Raw genomic sequence first — 18099 nt, 5'->3', positions numbered from 1 at the left:
GGCCTTGCTGTGAGAGAACACGCCCCAGGCAGGAAACAGACTGGCCGGATCAGCATGGCATTGTGCCTTTGTCCGGCTCCGCCCACACACCTAATCTTTCGGGAGTCAAGGCACAGCCCACAAAGAGAGTTGGGCACCATCTGTGTGTTGGCCTCTGTGCTGGGACCTTTGTGAGCTTTATGACACCAATCCTCCCAAGATCTTGCCAGGTAAACATCATCAGGGCAGTTTAGGAACATGCCCAAGGACACTGGCAGAGCTGGAATTTGAGTCCCCGTCCTTCTGATGCCAAAGCCCATGTGGTTTCCACCCCCTGCACAGGAGGGGAGGAGGGCGAAGGCTCAGAGCTGATGAGGCTCAGGGCCAGAACTTTGATTCTCCCCACATTTTTCTGCAGCAGGAATTTGACTTTATGGAAGCTTCACATTGAACCTGACCTGCTCTCTGTGAATTATTTTCTAGGTCTTCGATGAATAAACAGGCAATTCTCCGTATCCATATATCTTATGTACCACACAAATATATATACCTACTATGTACCCATAAATATTAAAAAACAAAAAAACTAAAAGACCCAGATAATTCTCACTTTTTGGCTTCAGATCCTGGTCCTCTGTTGAAATGCTTATAAATAAAGGAGAAAGAATAGCACCTACATACACCTATAAATAAAGGAAGACATAGTTATAAAGATATATAGTTATAAAAAAGGAAATGGCCATAGAACTATTTAGAGGGATCTACATAGAAGGAAGAGAGACTAAAAATCAACTTGACTTCTATGAGCAAATAGCAGAGCAGTTTGCAGAGTTATGTATACAGAAGCCTCTGGCAAGAGGACAAGAGAAGTACAAAAAGTTTCTCATTAAATAACTTTTCAAACGGCAGTGCAAAGGTCTCTGGGCGTGTGCCCAGCGCACCTCAACCTGGAAGGCATTGCAGTGGGTGCAAGGCAGGACAAGCCCACGGAGCAAGCACTTCGGGTCGGCACTCACCTGCCCAGGAACTGAGAGGTAGGTCATGGATCAGCCTAGAAAGAAAGATCCACGTGTGACTTCCCCGTGGCTCTGCAAGTCTCCCAGGCTGTAGTGCAGTATAGTGGCTAAGAACATGGCACTTTGGTGACAGACAGACCTGATTCCTGTCTTGGCTCTGCCCTTCACTGGCGGTGGCACTGTGAGCAGGTGGCTTCACCACCCAGCCTGTAAAGTGGTGACAGTAGTACCTACCTTGCAGGACTACATGAAAAAGAAGTGAGATCATCCATGTAGCACGCATGGGACCAGATCCCAGAAAGTGGAGGAGGAGTGAAGCTCAACTCTGCTGGTCTGGACTTTTTGCAGTTGAAACGGGGCCCTTCCTTAGTTCTGGCTAACATTAAAAATGATCTGGCCAGGTGCTGTGGCTCATGCCTATAATCCCAGAACTTTGGGAGGCCAAGGCAGGCAGATCACCTGAGGTCAGGAGTTCGAGACCAGCCTAGCTAACATGGTGAAACCTTTTTCTACTAAAGATACAAAAAATTAGCCGGACGTCCTGGCGTGTGCCTGTAATCCCAGCTACTCAGAAGGCTAAGGCAAGAGAATCGCTTGAACCTGGGAGGCGGAGGTTGCAGTGAGCCAAGATAGCGCCATGGCACTCCAGCTTGGGCAAGAAGAGAAAAACTCCATCTCCAAAAAAAAAAAAAAGAAAAGAAAAGAAAAAAAAAAGATCTGCATCCTTTGAGCTCACACCAATGGATGAGAAAGAAGCAGGTGAAGGAATTTATTGTTATATTATATTAAATAAATAATAATAGTAACAGCCCTTATGCCACTCTCAAGGAGCATTCTCGTGTGCATAGTTGCTTCTGTTGAGCCCGCTGGAATATCTGCTTCTGCAATGAGGATGTTGGGCCCTGGGCAACCTGAGAACCTACCCAGTGCTGGCACACAGGAGCACAGAGAGAGCTGGGACAGACTGTCTGGTGGAATCAGCCCTCGGTGGACACCCTCGCCAGAGTGCAGCGTTACAGGCACTATTATCTGCATGTCTCTAGACAACATAATAGACAGACTCAGGGTTCAAAGCTTAGAACCAATGATGCCTCCTTCTGGAAGCCCTCTCCTTCCAATGGTTGGAATGAGTCCCCTCTGCCCTGTGTTTCCATGACCATGCTATGGCCTTTATCATTCCATTCACCATAGCAGTCCCCTTTCATGAATGACAGGCACTATGTCAGTGGCCTCAGTGAATCTCCCCATGGGAGAGATGAGGGGCCACAAGAGGGCTGGGGCAGAGAAGCATCATCACCTTAGTGGTTAACAGGATGCAGGGGAGCAGGGATGGATGTAGGCAGACAGGTCAGGAAGCCATGGCAGTGATGCCAGTGAGAGCTGATGGTGGCAGTGAAGGCAGGAAGAACTAGTTGGATTATAGATTTTTTTTGAGGTTAAACTGACAAGATGTCCTTGTGGATTGAAGGTAAAATACCTGAGAAATGAAGGAGATGAGAATGACCCCACGGTTTTTAGCCAGAGTAACTGCAAAGTTAGAGAACCCAAATACAAAGATCAGGAAAATTGTGGAAGAGCTGGTTTTGGAGAAAAAATAAGGAGGCCAGTTTGGGACGAGTTGAATTTGAGACACCTGCTAGATATCACACCTGCAGTTGGCTATGGGAAGATGTAAAGGTGGGAGTTATCAGTGTATAGGTGGGGAAATAAAGCTCCGAGCTTAGATGAGATAACCAAGGAGTAAGTGTAACTGATAAAAGAAGAGGACCAAGGAACTGACCCCTGGGCTTGACAAGGGTCGGCTGAGCATTTACACCACACCCAGCTCTGTGCTAGCAGCCCTGGGAGGCGGTGGATCCGAAGGACACCCAGTTTCTGTCCTCAAGGAACTCAAGAGCCTGTAGGGAAGGTGGAGCGTGCGTCTCATTCACAGACCCGGGGAGCTGTGCCACATGGAAAAAGCTCTGAACCTGAGCCCAGCACCCAGGGCTGAACTGCCCCCACCACCCACTGGCCATGCCTGTGACTATCTCTGAGCCTGAGTTTCCTCCTTCGTAAAATGGAGATAATAATATATCCTGGCAAAGGAGTTGCTTAGAGGATCAGAGAAGGCATGTGCCTAGCACAAAGGAGGCGTCTGGCAACCTGTACAGCCTGTGCTTGTTAGTATCTGCCGGCATGCTCTCCACACCCTCAGCTGGGGGGCCCATCTTCACACATAGTAGCAGTGGGGTTTCCAGAAGCACCAACCCCATGAATGGGCCTGGGGACTCCCCTTGTCCACGGCCCAGCCTCCCTCATGGCTGCCACTACCCCATGTGGGCTGGGGACGTTGGTGGCGAGGTCAAGGCCACTCTGTCCCTTGGAGTAATTGAAGATGACAACATTATTTTGTGTCTCACAGAGACTGGTAGAGATCAAAGGCAGCAAGAAGGAGCTGCTGGGACAGGCAGGAATTCCCTGGCAAAGGCCGCCAATTATTGGAAATTGGCTGTAGTTACAGCTATTACCATTAAGGGCTGCCTGGCTGCCCTACGCTGCTGGAGAGGCGCGTTCTGACAGAGGGTGTGAAAGTGGCCACAGCAGGGTTGGGGGCAAAGAGAATTCCATGGGTTTGCACCTACCACGACTCAGACTTCTCTGTGGATTGCTGTCCCAGAGACAGGCAAAGGCGAGTCTTGGAATATTCTCTGGACAAATAGGAAGAGGCGTCCTGGAGAGATATGTGGGGAGAGAAAGGGGGCTGTAGAGCCCAGCAGGGAGAAAAGCCATGGGCTCATGAGGTCCAGGGAAGAAGAGCTCCAGCAGAAGGGAGAAGAGCACAGACCAGCAGGGAGAAGAGCCATGGGCTCATGGGCTCCAGAGACCAGCAGGGAGGAGGGCTGTGGGCTCATGAACTCTAGAGACCAGCAGGGAGAAGAGCCATGGGCTCATGAGCTCCTGGGACCAGAAGGGAGAAGAGCAGAGACCAGCAGGGAGGAGGGCCATGGGCTCATGAGCTCTAGAGACCAGCAGGGCGAAGAGCAGAGACCAGCAGGGAGGAGGACCGTGGGCTCATAGGATCCAGAGACCAGCAGGGAGAAGAGTCATGGGCTCATGGGCTCCAGAGACCAGGAGGGAGGAGGGCTGTGAGCTCATGGGCTCCAGAGACCAGCAGGGAGAAGAACCATAGGCTTATAAGCTCCAGAGTCCAGGGGAGAGAAGAGCCATGGGCTCATGAGCTCTACAGACCAGCAGGGGGAAGAGTCGTGGGCTCATGACCTCTAGAGACCAGAAGGGGCAAGAGCCTTGGGCTCATGGGCTCTGGCTCATGTTAGCTGAAGCTGTGCCATGGTAGGCATGGGCATCAACGCTCTACTCCTCGATCCTGACCAGAGAGGCACAGCTGTAAACAGTGTGCCAAGGTTAGCTCTCACTTTGGGCATGAGAACAAAGCAAGGCACCTTGGCAGGAGGCAAGACCCTGAGCCAAGCTGAAGGGCCTTGCTGGTGTTTGAAGCCCACTTACTGCCCTGTCCTGGCAGCAACCTAGAAGAGTGGGTCCCAAGGAAGAGGGCAGCCAGTGACTCCCAGAGCAACCCAGGGTGCAGATGAGAATTCCAGCAGGTACCAGGGAGGAGGGGAGGGCATGGCAAAGGAGCAAGCTATTCTTTCAATAACTTCAATAACCTCAGGGATCTTATCTCTGTCTCCTTCGCTTACGAGCTGTGTGAACTTAAGCAAGTTACTTAGCCTCTCTGAGCCTCAGATTCCACATCTGAAAAGTGAGGAAATCATACAAACTAGAATCATACAAGATGGCACGGTAAAATAAGTCATGAAATTATGGTTGCCATTAGTGAAAGGTCCAAGGCTAACCACTTGCTCAGTAATCTGAGAGGGGCCCTTTCTTTTCAAAGTGTCAGTAAAAAAAAGTATAGCCATCAATCACTGGGGGTCTAGTGCATCATCCTGAGATGGTGTCACCTCACCCTCATAGAACGTCAATACTGCAGCATTATTAAGCAAAATGAGGGAGGCTGTTTCAGGAAGGCCTCCATTTTTGCTTTAAAAAATACATGATGAACTAAGGGCTTGGGTAGCAAAGAAGCTCACTGACAGGAACAATATAGATGTCTCATTAATTATGTCAGAAGCAGGTGTGTGGCCACACATGGCTTTCAGGCTCCTGTCATCTGCTTCCGTGGATGCCTTCAAAGCTCTCCTCCAGCATGTTGGCCTCCATGCAGGCTCCATGACCATGAGGCCATGCCATGTGTCTTTCCATCACCAGGTCTTTGATGATAATCTGCCCCCTGACCCATCTCAGAAAGCTCTCCCTATGGCAGGACCACCCCAAGGCCAGCCATGTGGCATGATGGAGAGAGCACTGGCTTGAGAGCCTGGTGACGGAGGGCTTCCTCTGACTATGCCACTCATGGGCTGGATGACCTGGAGGAGTCACTTCCTGTGTCAGGCAGAGTTTGAGGGATGCAAGCAACAGAAACCAATCTGGCTGTAACCTACATGGGAAAGGGCAGACCCAAGAGGGTCTCAGAATTTAAAGGAAAGCAAAGGACCAGACTCTGAAGGCAGAATAAGGCTGTCTGGGGGTGGGGTGGGGCTGGGATCCAAGGAGTCCAAGAAGCAGGGTCCCACAAGAGCGTCTCCTCAGGACACGACCCCACCCTCCTCCTGGGGCAAATCAGCTTCAGCCATTTCTAATCTTCTGTCCTTATGCTTGAAACAGAAACTCCAGAGACTGAGAGAGATGGGGAGAGCTAGAGGAGGTGGGCACCTTGACTGATAATCCCACCAGTCAGCCCGTCACAGAGAAGAGGGAGTTCTCCCAAAGAAGTCAGGGCACCATGATCAGAAGGAATGGGAATCAACGTTGGGCAGGGAAAAATTAACTCATCTACACTTTCCTCTTCTGGAGGCTGTTTTCTCATCTGTGGAATGGAGACAGTGACACCTTAAAGGAGTGGTGTAGATTTGGTGCATATCGTGGCATAGATGAACAGCAGTTGTTGCTATTAGTGATAGCACACAGGGCATCGAGCAATATTGAGAGCATTCCTTATGTTGATGACTGTTACGCTAGTTGTATTGTCATGCAGTTAGGACTGAATAAAGACTAGATGTTATTGGCCATTTGTCTGAGTCCCAGAGGTGTCTTCCTTTCATGAAGAAAGGGGTGAGGCATATGGACATTCATCCTCATTTAATACTCAGAGCCAGTCCATTTTCCACATGGAAACTGAGCCTCGGAAAAGTGAAATTGTTGGACAGTTGTGGGCATTGCTGGATCCACCTCAGGTCTGTGCTGCTCTGAAGTCACAGTGGCAGACACAGTTCCGGGTGATGCAAGTTCCAAGTGAGCGTCCCCTAGAGTCCACCTGGGGTGTCACATCCCTCCGCGTGGGCCTCCTGTGGAATTCCTCACTGTGTTTCTTGGTCCCTCAGCCCTGCAGATGGTTCTGCTTTCCCTCTGGAAGAGTATTATGTCGATTCACTTGAAGTCATGTTTGGGGCAAACAAGGCACCAGATGCTGGAATGTGGTCCCCTCCACTTTTCCAGAGAGGTATGAGGATTTAATCTTTGCTTTTCTTAAAAAAAAATAATAATGGTTCTGAGGGCTGGAGGACATGTAAAATCAAAGGGAAATTACAGGCAATGTGCAGAGAATTCTTAGTTTCCAGATGCTTGTCAACCCACCTTGGGAAATGAGCCCCTCTCACAGGTAGGGGCTGCCAGAAGCCCTTTCTGGCTGGAGAACATCACGGAGGAGAACTAGCAAGACCCCTGCCTTCTCCCCTGGGACCTGGCACTGCATTTAGCAGCATTTAAGAAACAATCCCCCCATCACTGCTGATTAGGAGGAACATCAATTTTAATGGAGAGGTGTTACCTAAGTCTGGCCACATGGCCTAGCTGCAAAGGTCACCCTTTCTCAGAAGGTCTGCATTCCCTTCCTCCCCAAATCAGGCACTGGTGTGTGGGAGACAGCCAGCCTTTGCTACTGAGTGGCTGACCTCCATCACTCCACAGGGCCTGGGGTCCTCTCAGCAAAGATATCCCAGGGCAAGCAGAACCTGTCCATTTGTACAGGGCTGTGGCTGTGGGTCAGGTGAAGCGGGGGTTATAGATTTTTCTGGAACTAAAGCCCACCTAAAGCCTCTGGGAAAATGATCATCCCTCCCTTAACCACAAATTCCACTGACATGATATACCCTAATAAGCGATTTCATGACTGTGTGTGATTTCAGCAACCAAGCAAACTTCAGTGCATGCACATTGCAAGTTGTGAAAACAAAGAGAAGCTGGATATTTGTGTGGAGGCCCAACTCTCTCGGCTGCAGAGCTTCTGCCAGTGTTCTTTCCCTAAGATTCACTGATGCTGTCAGGGAGGAAGACATGGACTCATGCCTCTGCATCGGCCGGGCTGGATAATCTAAGATGGCCTCATGTGTGTGCCAGTTAGTATCCTGTTGCTAGGGGCACCTTGGTTCTCCTCCGTGTGACCTCTCAAGTAGGCTAGCTTGGGCTCTTCCCATCAGTGTCTCAGAATTCCAAGTGCCACAAAAGAGGGCAAAAGTCTGAATGCCCAAGCACTTTTTAAGCCTCTGCCTCTGCCATGTTTGCTAATGTCCATTGGCCAGAGCAAGTCATGGCCAAGCTCAGAATCAAGAGGTGAAGAAACAAACTCTACCTTGGCTGGGAAGAGTTACTGAGGCCTTGTCTTTGTAAACAATCTACCACCCTGCCCCACCCACACCCCACACAGAGAACAGTTTCCCTGTTAGATATTCTCACCACTCCCTGAACTTTCTCTCCAGGGCACTTACCCACTGTAGTTGACTATTTGTACACCGAGTTGTTTGTTGTCTTTCTCTCCCATATCCCTGTTCCACCATGCGGGCAGGGGCTGATGTGTGTCCATCCGTGCCCAGCACAGTGGCTGGTACATAGTGGGTGCCAGTAACTACTAGTGAAGGAAGCAGGAAGAAGAGAAGGAAAAAAAGAAAAAGAAGAAAGGGAGGGCGGAGGGAAAAAGAGGCAGGAAGGGAGGAATGAGGGCAGGAGAAAAGGAGGGAAGGAGTCCTGGAACAATGGGGGCACTTCTTAGGCGGAGGACTAACTGGAACCTCTCTGGGCAGCGGGTGCCCTGTGCATCCCCCAAGCCCACTGCGCTGCTTTCAGCCTCCATATCTTGGCTCCTCCTGCCCTCCCACCTGGCTACCCTCCCACCCTCTTTCCTCTGCTGGCTCAGCCCTGGGTTCCTTCCACGTGCATCTCAAGTGTCTCTCCCCACTCCCAGCAGCTTCCCCTCTACCCCTTCCTCCTGAGCATCTGCCCGGCTCAGGCAGCTCCCCACACCCCCACCTATTGCTGCCCACGCTGTCCTGCACATGCACCTCTCAACTGAGCACCACACCGGCCCTTTGAGAAATCTAGGACAGGCATATTGATCTTTCCATCCCATTGATGAGAACTCAGGTTCAGGGAGGGTCGATGTCCACGGTCACCCTCCAGGACCAGAGTCAGTCTGGTTCAATAGTCCCCAGACTGCAACGACTGTGGTGAAGCCTCAAGGCCCTAAGGAAGAGGCTCCATCCTGTCTGTCTTGGTGAGAGTGGATGCCCGTGCCAGAGGACCCAGGATTCTGATCTCTGGACAGTGGCAGACAGAGGGAAACCAATAGGTCAGAGGCGGAGCCTGCCGTCTCCTAGCCCACAAGGGCTTCCTCCAGAATGACTGGGCCCTAGGGCAGGCCTGCAGCCTCCCAGGTGACACTCCCATGGCACCACCTCTCCCATGGAATGTCTTCTTTAGAAAAGAGATGAGCCCATTCTTAAAAGGGGAAGGGGCTTTCAAGGTCACACAGCAAATTAGGGCAGCCCAAACTCCAGACTCAGGCTCCTGCTGTCCCTGAAGTCACATCGTGCCCTCCCTCACTGCCTTCCCAGTCCTGTCTCCTTCCCACCTCCACAGGGCTTGTGACCAACTGAAGGGGATTAGACTAGTTAGCAAGGGGCCAGTTCCCCAACCCAGGCGCAGGTGGGAGGGGAGTGGTAGAGGGAGCAGGCCCATCCAGCAGGTGATGGATCTCACAATAGGTATTTGCCGCGTATTGGTGACTGTCTTCAGAACTGCGCCTCCGCCTACACTGCTTGATGTACATTAGTGTGCTGGTTAACTTTAACCTGCACCCTGGGGATGGGTGCTTGAAGTAACATAATTAGGAAGCAGCTCCACAGGGCAGCGAGCCTCGGATCTGGTCAATCATGGCTTTGCTAAATCGGCACCGGAGGCTGCGGCTAATCTGCATAGGAGATGTTGCCAGTGCCTTTTCATTGGTGAAATGAGCTGTACAAAAAAAAAAAAAATGTGGTTGGCTCCCGAGATTGTGCAGTACCCTCCTCTCTTGGTGAACCAAGCTCAAGAATCCACCCCCGGCTCCATCTGGGCCAGCGGCCGCCCACTGAATGGAAGGCACTGAGTTCACTGGAAAACTCAGGACCTGACTTCACCGGGGATCCTGCCCTCTCCAGGTCCTGCCTTCGCTAGCGATGCTGCCTTCAGTAAACAGTTGCACTTGCCTGGGAGTGACACTGGCCTGTAGGGACTGGTCAGATGCCCCCAAGGATAGCACGTGGTCCCTGCTGCGTGCCTACTCTGTGCCAGAAAAGTTCTCCACATCACGTGTATATTACTTCATTGAAAAATCACTGCTATCTGGGCGTGGTGACTCATGCCTGCAATCCCAGCACTTTGGGAGGCCAAGGCAAGAAGATTGCTTAAGGACAGGAGTTCGAGACCAGCCTAGCCAACATGGCGAAACCCCGTTGCCACTAAAAATACAAACAATTAGCCAGGTGTGGTAGCACATGCCTGTGATCCCAGCTACTCAGGAGGCTGAGTCATGAGAATCACTTGAACTCGGGAGGTGGAGGTTGCAGTGAGCTGAGATCATACCACTGCACTCCAGCCTGAGTGACAGAGTGAAACTCTGTCTAAAAATAAATAAATAAAAAATAAAAGTCACTGCCACCTCCATTTTACAAGAGGTACCGAGTGGATATGTTACTTCCCCAGGGCCTCACAGGGAGGAAGTGGTGGAGCTGGGATTTGAACCCGGGCTGTTGTTTTTGTAAAGGATCGAATAAATGCTGTGAATGTACTGATCTATGATAAGCTAGCTGCATGAGATGGAGACTCAGACACAGATGAAGCCAAAGCTGAGATGCAGAATTTACTGAGAAATCGCATTGTATCTCACAAGAGCAAATTGCTAAGCCCACCACGTATCCAGGCTGTGCCGTCCGATTGAAGAGCCTGTGCTCTGAACTCCATACAGCCTCCTTCCTGCAGCTGAGGAGCTGGAGGCCTACGGGAAAATGGGCTCTAGATGGCTGAGTTTCAACGGGAGCCTACCAGTGTCCCTCCCCAGCCTCGCACCTGCCGTGGCTCCATAACCAAGAACCCACTCTCCCTCTGGATCCGGCCCTCCACCCTTCCCTCCCAGCTCATATGCTTGGCCCAGGCTACACTGAGCTCCTGGACCACACCAGGCAGTTTCACACACAGCAGCTTTGCTCACCGGGCTCCCTTCACTTCCCTTGACCATTGCCCACCAGGAAAACATCCACTTATCTTTCTTGGCTTCATTAGGCCTCATCACCTCTACCAAGAGAACAACACTGGACACCAGATGCCCTTTGGGACACACCAGTGTGAGGCCACCCTCACCCTGCTGTGTGACCTTGGACAAGTGACTCAACTTCTCTCAACATCAGTTTCCCCATCTACAAAGTAGGAAAATGTTGTTTACCTCATGGTTTGTTGTACAAGTTAGAAAAAATGCACATCAAGCCTCTGACATGGCTTCTACTAAAAACATGGTACTTATTTTTAGAACGTTTTCCTGCCATCTGCCCCAGAAGAATTGAACTCTGTATACCTGTATACACCTCAGACTCTCTGGACATACTTGTGTCTTTTTTTGCTAGCACTTCTCACAAGCTGGCATCTTGTGTATTTTCCTCTGTTTATGTTCTGTCTCCTTCATTGCGGGACTTATTAAGGTGCAGCTCCTTGGGGGCAGGAATCTTGTCTGTCATGTTCATCACCGGATTCCAGGGCTCAGAATGCTGCCTGGCACTTGCTAGGTCCTCCATTAAAGTTGGCTGGTGAAATGAATGAACAAATAAAGGAATAAAAAAAGGAACAAATGAACCCATACCCACCTCCTGCATTAATCTTATCCATCAATCTGTCCCCAGCTCCCAGCCCAGTAACTGACATGTGTGTTCAGCGGGGATTATAGAACAAATCTTATCAATTCTGTGTTTATGCATTTATAAAACACAATTTAACGACGCACTAAATCAGATCAGCATGAATGAAGCTTTCCAGATGGGCACTGAACCAGGATTCTCTTTCTTCGTGTCTTGCTTTCTCAAAACTGGTCCACATTATCCTCCCCAGCAGCATAAGAACTGCCCAAATTGCCAGCCTTAGAATCATGAGCTAATTAATGAGACTGCTTTGAGTCACTGTGCTTTGCTTGTAGGTATGATCGCCCCACAGCCAAGACTAACTGATGCAACAGAGGAAGGGCTCCCCGAGGAGGGGAGGGCTGAGCTGGATCTGAATAACCAGAAGAAGACTAAGAGAAAGCAGTAAATTCCCGGTGGAGGAATTTCGAAGGTGTGTGTAGGAAAGTCATTTGGAAGGAGATAGGACAGCACTTTTTTTTTTTTTAACACCTTATTGAACATCCAGCCAGAAAATGTACAATTGGCAAACTACCCCCTAGAGAATAACACGCTTGTACGACCAGACCCATATGAGAAACAAAGCATGACCGGCACCCCAGAGGCACTCCTTACGCTCCTTCCATTTCCCACCTCCCTCCCAGGCTAACCACTATCCTGACTTTTCTCATCACAGATTGTGTTATTTTTGTAGCGTTTTTTCAACTGGACTCTGCATTGTGCATTATTTTGTATCTGGCTGCTTTCACCCCATGTTAGAGTTGTGAGACTCATCCGTGTTGTTCTCTCCTTTTCCTCTTGATAAATCGTATTCCATTATTTACCCATCCTCCTCCTGATGGATCTTTGGGCTGTGTTGGCTATGGAGAATAACACTGCCATGAATACTCCTGAACACATCTTTCAAGGAATATATTTGTACACTTTTTTTTTTCTTTTTTCAAGACGGAGTCACGCTCTGTCACCCAGGCTAGAGTACAGTGGCGTGATCTCGGCTCACTACAACCTCAACCTCCCAGGTTCAAACGATCCTCCTGCCTCAGCCTCCTGCCTCAGGCCTGGGATTACAGGCCTGCATCATGATGCCCAACTAATTTTTGTATTTTTAATAGAAGACAGGTTTTCGCCATGTTGGCCAGGCTGGTCTCAAACTCCTGACCTCAAATGATCCACCCACCTCGGCCTCCCAAAGTGCTGGGGTTAACAGGCATAAGCCACCACGTCCAGCTGATATTTGTACACTTCTGGTGAGTGTAGACCGCCAGTGAAATTCTTGGGTCATAAGGTTTGCACAAAAAGCAGCTCTTTTGAGGAACTGAAAGGAACAGGTGGCTTGAAAGAGGAGCGGGGAGCTAATGAGATGAGGGGTCAAAATTTCTCAAGCCCTGTGAACACGGCAAGGAGGCTGATTTTCAAGAGATGTGCAGGGGGAGGCCAGGGAGTGACATGCTCCAATGACATTTTAAGATCACCCTGGAGAGTGAGGTTGGAGACCACCATGGGGGACAAGGAAACAGGTAGGTGGTGGTGGAGGGCATCTAAGGGAGAGATGACCATGGCCGGGACCAAGATGCTGTGGAGATGGAGAGGAGAGGATCGTGCTCTAGTTAGCTAGTACCGCATGACAGAGCTGAGCAGCTTAAAACTATGCAATGGATTTTCTCCAAGGATTTTGGGGGTTGACTGAGCTCTGCCGGGAAATTCTTGTATGGGATCTCTCATGCTGTTGCAGTCAGGTGATACAGGTGATAGCTGGGGCTGTAGCTCCAGCCAGGCCAAAAGCTCAGCTGGGCTGAAGATGAGCTCTTGTCCGAGGTGGGTTTTTCACTCACCTGCTTGGCTCCTGGGCTGAGATGGCTCAAGCAGTTGGGGGCTGGTGGGACCTATGTCACCCCATATGCAACTGACTGGGCTTCCTCATAGCATGGCACTCTCAGATTGATTAAATGGAAGAAGCCTGTGACCAGAGCAAGTGTTCTAAGAGGCTAGGACAGACGCTGCAAGGCTTCCTATGACCCAGCCTCAGGGGCCCCCAAATATTGCATCCACTACATTCTCTTAGCCAAGCAAGTCATTAAGTCCAGCTGAGGTAGGAAGCAGGACTCAACTCTGAAGGTGGGGCTCAGATACCGGAACAAACTGAGGACTAGCTGAAACAGGTTGGGACAGAAGCACTTCCCCATAAGACACCCCACCAGTTTGCCATGTGAGTTTACCATTGCTGTGGCAACACCTGAAGGTTACCACCCCCTTCCATGGCAATGACCCAGCAATCCAGAGGTTACCATACTTTTCCTAGAAATTTCTGCTCAAACTGTCCCTTAATTTGCAATATAATTAAAAGTGAGTATAAACGCAACTGCAGAACTGCCTCTGAGCCACTATTCTGGGTATGCTGCCCATGGGGTAGCCCTGCTCTGCAAGGAGCAATGCCTTTGTTTCTGCTGTTGTACACTGCTGCTTCAATAAAAGTTTCTGATTAACACCACCAGCTCACCCTTGTATTCTTTCCTAGATGAAGCCAAGAACCCTCCCAAGCTAAGCCCCAATTCTTGGGCTCACCTGTCTTGCATCACAGCCCACTTTCAAGGGAGGAGAAAAGAGATTCTCCTGTTTCATGTGAGGAGCAGCATGCCCCTGTGGGAAGGGAAGAGTTGGTGGGGGTCTTCTTTGGATGACACTGGCTACCAAGGATGGATTTGGACTTATTGCTGGCTTGGATAAAGGCTTTTTGTTTGTTTTTGCTTTGTTTTGGAATCTACATGTTGAAATCAATTTGAACAGCAGGAAACATACATACTTTTCCAGCACAGCCACAGTGTTTGGGATGCTCAGGGGTCAGAGGCAGAAATGTCCCCAGCATTTCACACACACAGAAGAAAGCTTTCTGCAAAGGGCAATGGAGAGACTTTTTGCTCCTGGCCTAATAGGGAAAACTTGCCCCTTGTGATCTTGTTTACCTAAGACCAACAATTGCCTGAAAGTATTTCTTAGTGAATTTCTAACTTGAACTATTCTCCTCAAAGGCTGCTGCTGCAGAGCAGAAAGATCAGACTTGGTTTCCGCAAAACACCTGGACTCCAGTTACTTCTTGGCTAACCTAATGACTTATGTGACCTTGGGGACATTACTGAACTTTTTTGTCCTTTGTTTCCTCATCAATAAAATCAGGATGATAACCGTATCTCCTTGGAAGAGTTGTTGAGAGGATTAAATTAGATAATACATACAAAGCACTTGGCCCAATCCTTGGGAAATAGTGAGTTCTTGGTCAATGTCAGCTGCACAGTAATAGATGCACAACAAATCTGTTGTAATTGAGTTGTCCATGTAAGGATTGTCAGCTCGAAGCACTGGCTCAAGGATTTTATCTGTGCCACACTTTAGTATTTGTTTGTTTGTTTGTTTATTTATTTATTTAGAGACGGAGTCTTGCTCTGTCATCCAGGCTGGAGTGCAGTGGTGCGATCTTGGCTCACTGCAACCTCTGCCTCCTGGGCTCAAGCAATTCTCCTGCCTCAGCCTTCCGAGTAGCTGGGATTACAGGTGCCCACTACCATGCCTGCCTAATTTTTGTATTTTTAGTAGAGATGAGGTTTCACCATGTTGGCCAGGCTGGTCTTGAACTCCTGACTTCAGGTGATCCACCCTCCTTGGCCTCCCAAAGTGCTGGGATTATAGGCGTGAGCTTCCTGGGACTATTAGCCATAAAGTTTGCTTTTGATTCCAAATGTTAAAAAATTATATCTATGTATCTATCTATCTGCAATGCTGTTGCAAATATCTCATACACAGGGCTTTCTCTCCCTCCATAGTACCGTATCTCTCTTCACATCTTTACATTGCCAATATCTCACACTTTGTAGGTGGGAAAGTTTATCATTTGCTTCACTAGGAGATGTACACTCTTTAAATAGTGTTCTAATGTCTGCAAAAAAAAAAAAAATTAGCAGAGCTGTCTCTAGGGAAGCAGCCTTTGTTCAAACCTGGAAGAAATGAAGGGTTTTATTTGTGGAAATTGGGGCATCCGGTGCTGTCTACTTAGGGAAGCAGGATTTTTTTTTAACCACCCACCAACACCTACACACGCCAAAAAAACTAATAAAATCTCAGAGAATATATTAATCTTTTACTTATAGGTAATCTCCCAAGTTCAGGGCAAGTTTTTCTTCTGAATGTTGTTCACTCTGTACGATGGAAATGATCTGACTCTTACCAAAGAGACTCACTGAAAATCTCTTCTCTATATGCACAGCTTTGATCTCACACAATCCTTCCAGGTAGGGACACCGGGCCCCATTTTACAGATGACAGCACAGAGGCCAAAATTAATTAGGAACTTGCCCAAGTTCACACAGCTCATGAGTAGCCACTTCTGTCTGTTGTCTACTGCACCATACCCACCATTCTTTTGCCTGAGCCTGGATTCTTTCTTCTTTTTCCTTTTTTTTGAGACAGAGTCTCGCTCTGTCACCCAGGCTGGAGTGCAGTGGTGTGATCTCGGCTCACTGCAACCTCTGCCTCCCAGGTTCAAGCCATTCTCCTGCCTCAGCCTCCCGAGTAGCTGGGACTACAGGTGTGCACCACCACACCCAGCTAATTTTTGTATTTTTAGTAGAGACAGGGTTTCACCATGTTGGCCAGGATGGTCTCCATCTCTTGACCTCGTGATCTGCCGGCCTCAGCCTCCCAAAGTGCTGGGATTACAGGCATGAGCCACCGCGTCCAGCTGAGCCTGGATTCTTTCTATGTCTCAGCATCTCTCTCTGCTACCAGCCTTTGCGTTATATCCCACAGGATTCCTGGAGGTAGGTAGCAATGGGTAAGAAAAGTTTAGCAGGCAAAACCTCAGCAGACAGGCTGACACCCAGCATTCCCAAGCACAGATGAGACCCTGACTCTCTTGAGGAGCTTGGCACTCAATGAGTATTAGGAGTTACTGCTTGGTGAAGTTTAAATATTTGTTTATTCACGTATGCAACTAACATTTATTGAGCTCCTACTATGTGCTCAGCACGGTGCTGGGCTCTGGCGATGCACAGATGAATTAGACAGCTCTGCTTGCAAGGCATTCTTGAGGAGTTTGCAGTATAGTGGGTGTAACAGACATACAGAAGTCCTAGAAGCAAAAGTGTGTGGACAGGGCGTTGCCAAATTCCTCAGCCAGCTGCCAGGTACTGCTAATTCCACTGCCTGAACAGCTGGAGAATCCATCTCCATGACCACCACTCCGGCGAAGGCCGCCACTGCCTGACACCTGTATCACCGAGGCCAGCAGGGCCGCCTGACAGCCTGCCTCACTCCTCTGATCACTTCTCCACACCACAACTAAAGGGACAATCTGATCCCTGTTTAAGTCCTCCAAAAGCTCCTTGATGTCCTTTCGATAAGGTCTAAAAAGCAGAGGCAGGCTACACTGTAGAGAGTTGGACTCCCTCCTCACAGGTGGATTCTGGGTCTTGTTCACAGTTGGGTGCTAGCACAGGGCCAGACCCTGGGTGACCAATGATTCCAGGGGGTCTTTATGATACAGTGCAGTCTGGTGACATCATAATGCAAGCCCCCTGCCCAGGAGAGGTTTTTGGTCCATTTGAAGGACAATCATTGGTCAATCCAGCTAGGATCCACTATCATCACTTAATCGGACTTAATTTGAAATTTCTAAAGATTTTTATATGAGCACTCTGATTTAAAGGAGTTAAGACTTTTTAAAAAATACAACATAAACATATGACTAATACCAATTACGAAGCGTCAATCTGGCCCATAGCATGAGCCCTTATGCAGTCATATTTGGGAGAGATGTGGGTAGGCGGTAAGAGCTACAGGACAAAGATTGGTTTTGCCTTGCTCTGCGATCTTGGATGGGTTACTTACTAGCTTTAAACCCCGTCTAAAACTGATCCCTGCCTCCTTGGCCTCATGAAGTCACTGCAAAGACCAGATGAACACTGGCTAAGAAAGGGCTGTCCAAACCCTAAAGGGTTGTACACATGTGAGGGCTTGAGGCCGTGACCAGAGAAGGCAGCATCCCCCTTGCCACAGCCCCCAACACACTCCTCTCCCGGAAGTGGCTGGGAGGGTGTGCTGGGCTTATCTTCATTGTCCTATTCTTCCCCAAAGTGGGTCTGGGATGAGGAGATGCAAACCTCTACCTGGGTTTCCTGCCAGAATTCATCAGTTCCCATAAGCAGAGGCAGGAAGACCATTGGGCCATCCATCATGAGACAGGTTGCAGGGAATCTGGACCTGTCTGGACCATGTTTTAGAAGCCCTTACATGGGAAGAGATGTTAGACTTAGCGATCTTTAAGGTTCATTTTGGGGATTCTCTACAATTCTCTGACTCCAAGTCCTTTCCCTCAGCAGAAATCGGTTGTAAACAATGACAAGGATTCTAGCAGAATTGGGCAATTTCTATAAACTCAGTTTCTGGAAACTCCCAGGAAGCCAAGCCTTCAGGCAGAATACTTCTCCTTCCCCCAAAGAAGTGCAAAAGAAAAAGAGTACTGTTGATTCATGCAAGATGCCAAATACCTAATTCCTTCTGAAAGTCACACACCCTTCTCTCCCAGCCAGAACTCCAGATCCAGGAGGCTGCACACACCCAGAGGAAGGGACATATCATAGATTGGTATGTACCTGGTTCCCAAAAGCACGTGCTTTGCCTATCGCACATATGCAAACTTTTTTAAAATCACCTTTCCAGGAGCGTACTGGGGCCTTGGACATGAAGGTCAACTGTTTTTTTCACTTTGGTCCCCTGGTTTCTGGGTTCAGGCCTATAGTGAGAGTCATTCATTCATCCATCCATTTAATTTCGACACCTCTCCCTGTGCCAGACAC

General features: G+C 49.1%; 3 long non-coding RNA genes across 3 annotated transcripts, besides 1 other annotated feature; 2 read left to right on the top strand and 1 right to left on the bottom strand.

Moving 5' to 3' along the window:
- Positions 1–918: 918 nt before the first annotated feature.
- On the top strand, positions 919–6127 carry LOC124903371 (uncharacterized). The gene is made up of 2 exons (XR_007064319.1): positions 919–1013; positions 1514–6127. It is a non-coding gene; the product is annotated as an uncharacterized LOC124903371 (long non-coding RNA).
- Positions 5103–11023, bottom strand: LINC02292 (long intergenic non-protein coding RNA 2292). The gene is made up of 3 exons (NR_110127.1): positions 10939–11023; positions 7823–7962; positions 5103–6578 (listed from the first exon to the last, which is right to left on the bottom strand). It is a non-coding gene; the product is annotated as a long intergenic non-protein coding RNA 2292 (long non-coding RNA).
- A 711-nt stretch (positions 11024–11734) lies between these two features.
- On the top strand, positions 11735–14438 carry LOC105370637 (uncharacterized). The gene is made up of 2 exons (XR_944171.3): positions 11735–12771; positions 13770–14438. It is a non-coding gene; the product is annotated as an uncharacterized LOC105370637 (long non-coding RNA).
- Positions 12668–12737: an enhancer, noted in NCBI's record as "active region_8956". NCBI's record gives its function as "activates an Ori minimal core promoter by ATAC-STARR-seq in GM12878 lymphoblastoid cells {active_cell/tissue: GM12878}" and the evidence as "EXISTENCE:reporter gene assay evidence [ECO:0000049][PMID:35858748]".
- Positions 14439–18099: the final 3661 nt, after the last annotated feature.

Source organism: Homo sapiens, chromosome 14 (genome assembly GCF_000001405.40).
Source record: "Homo sapiens chromosome 14, GRCh38.p14 Primary Assembly".
Taxonomy (NCBI): domain Eukaryota; kingdom Metazoa; phylum Chordata; class Mammalia; order Primates; family Hominidae; genus Homo; species Homo sapiens.
This window is presented reverse-complemented; position numbering and strand designations above follow the sequence as displayed.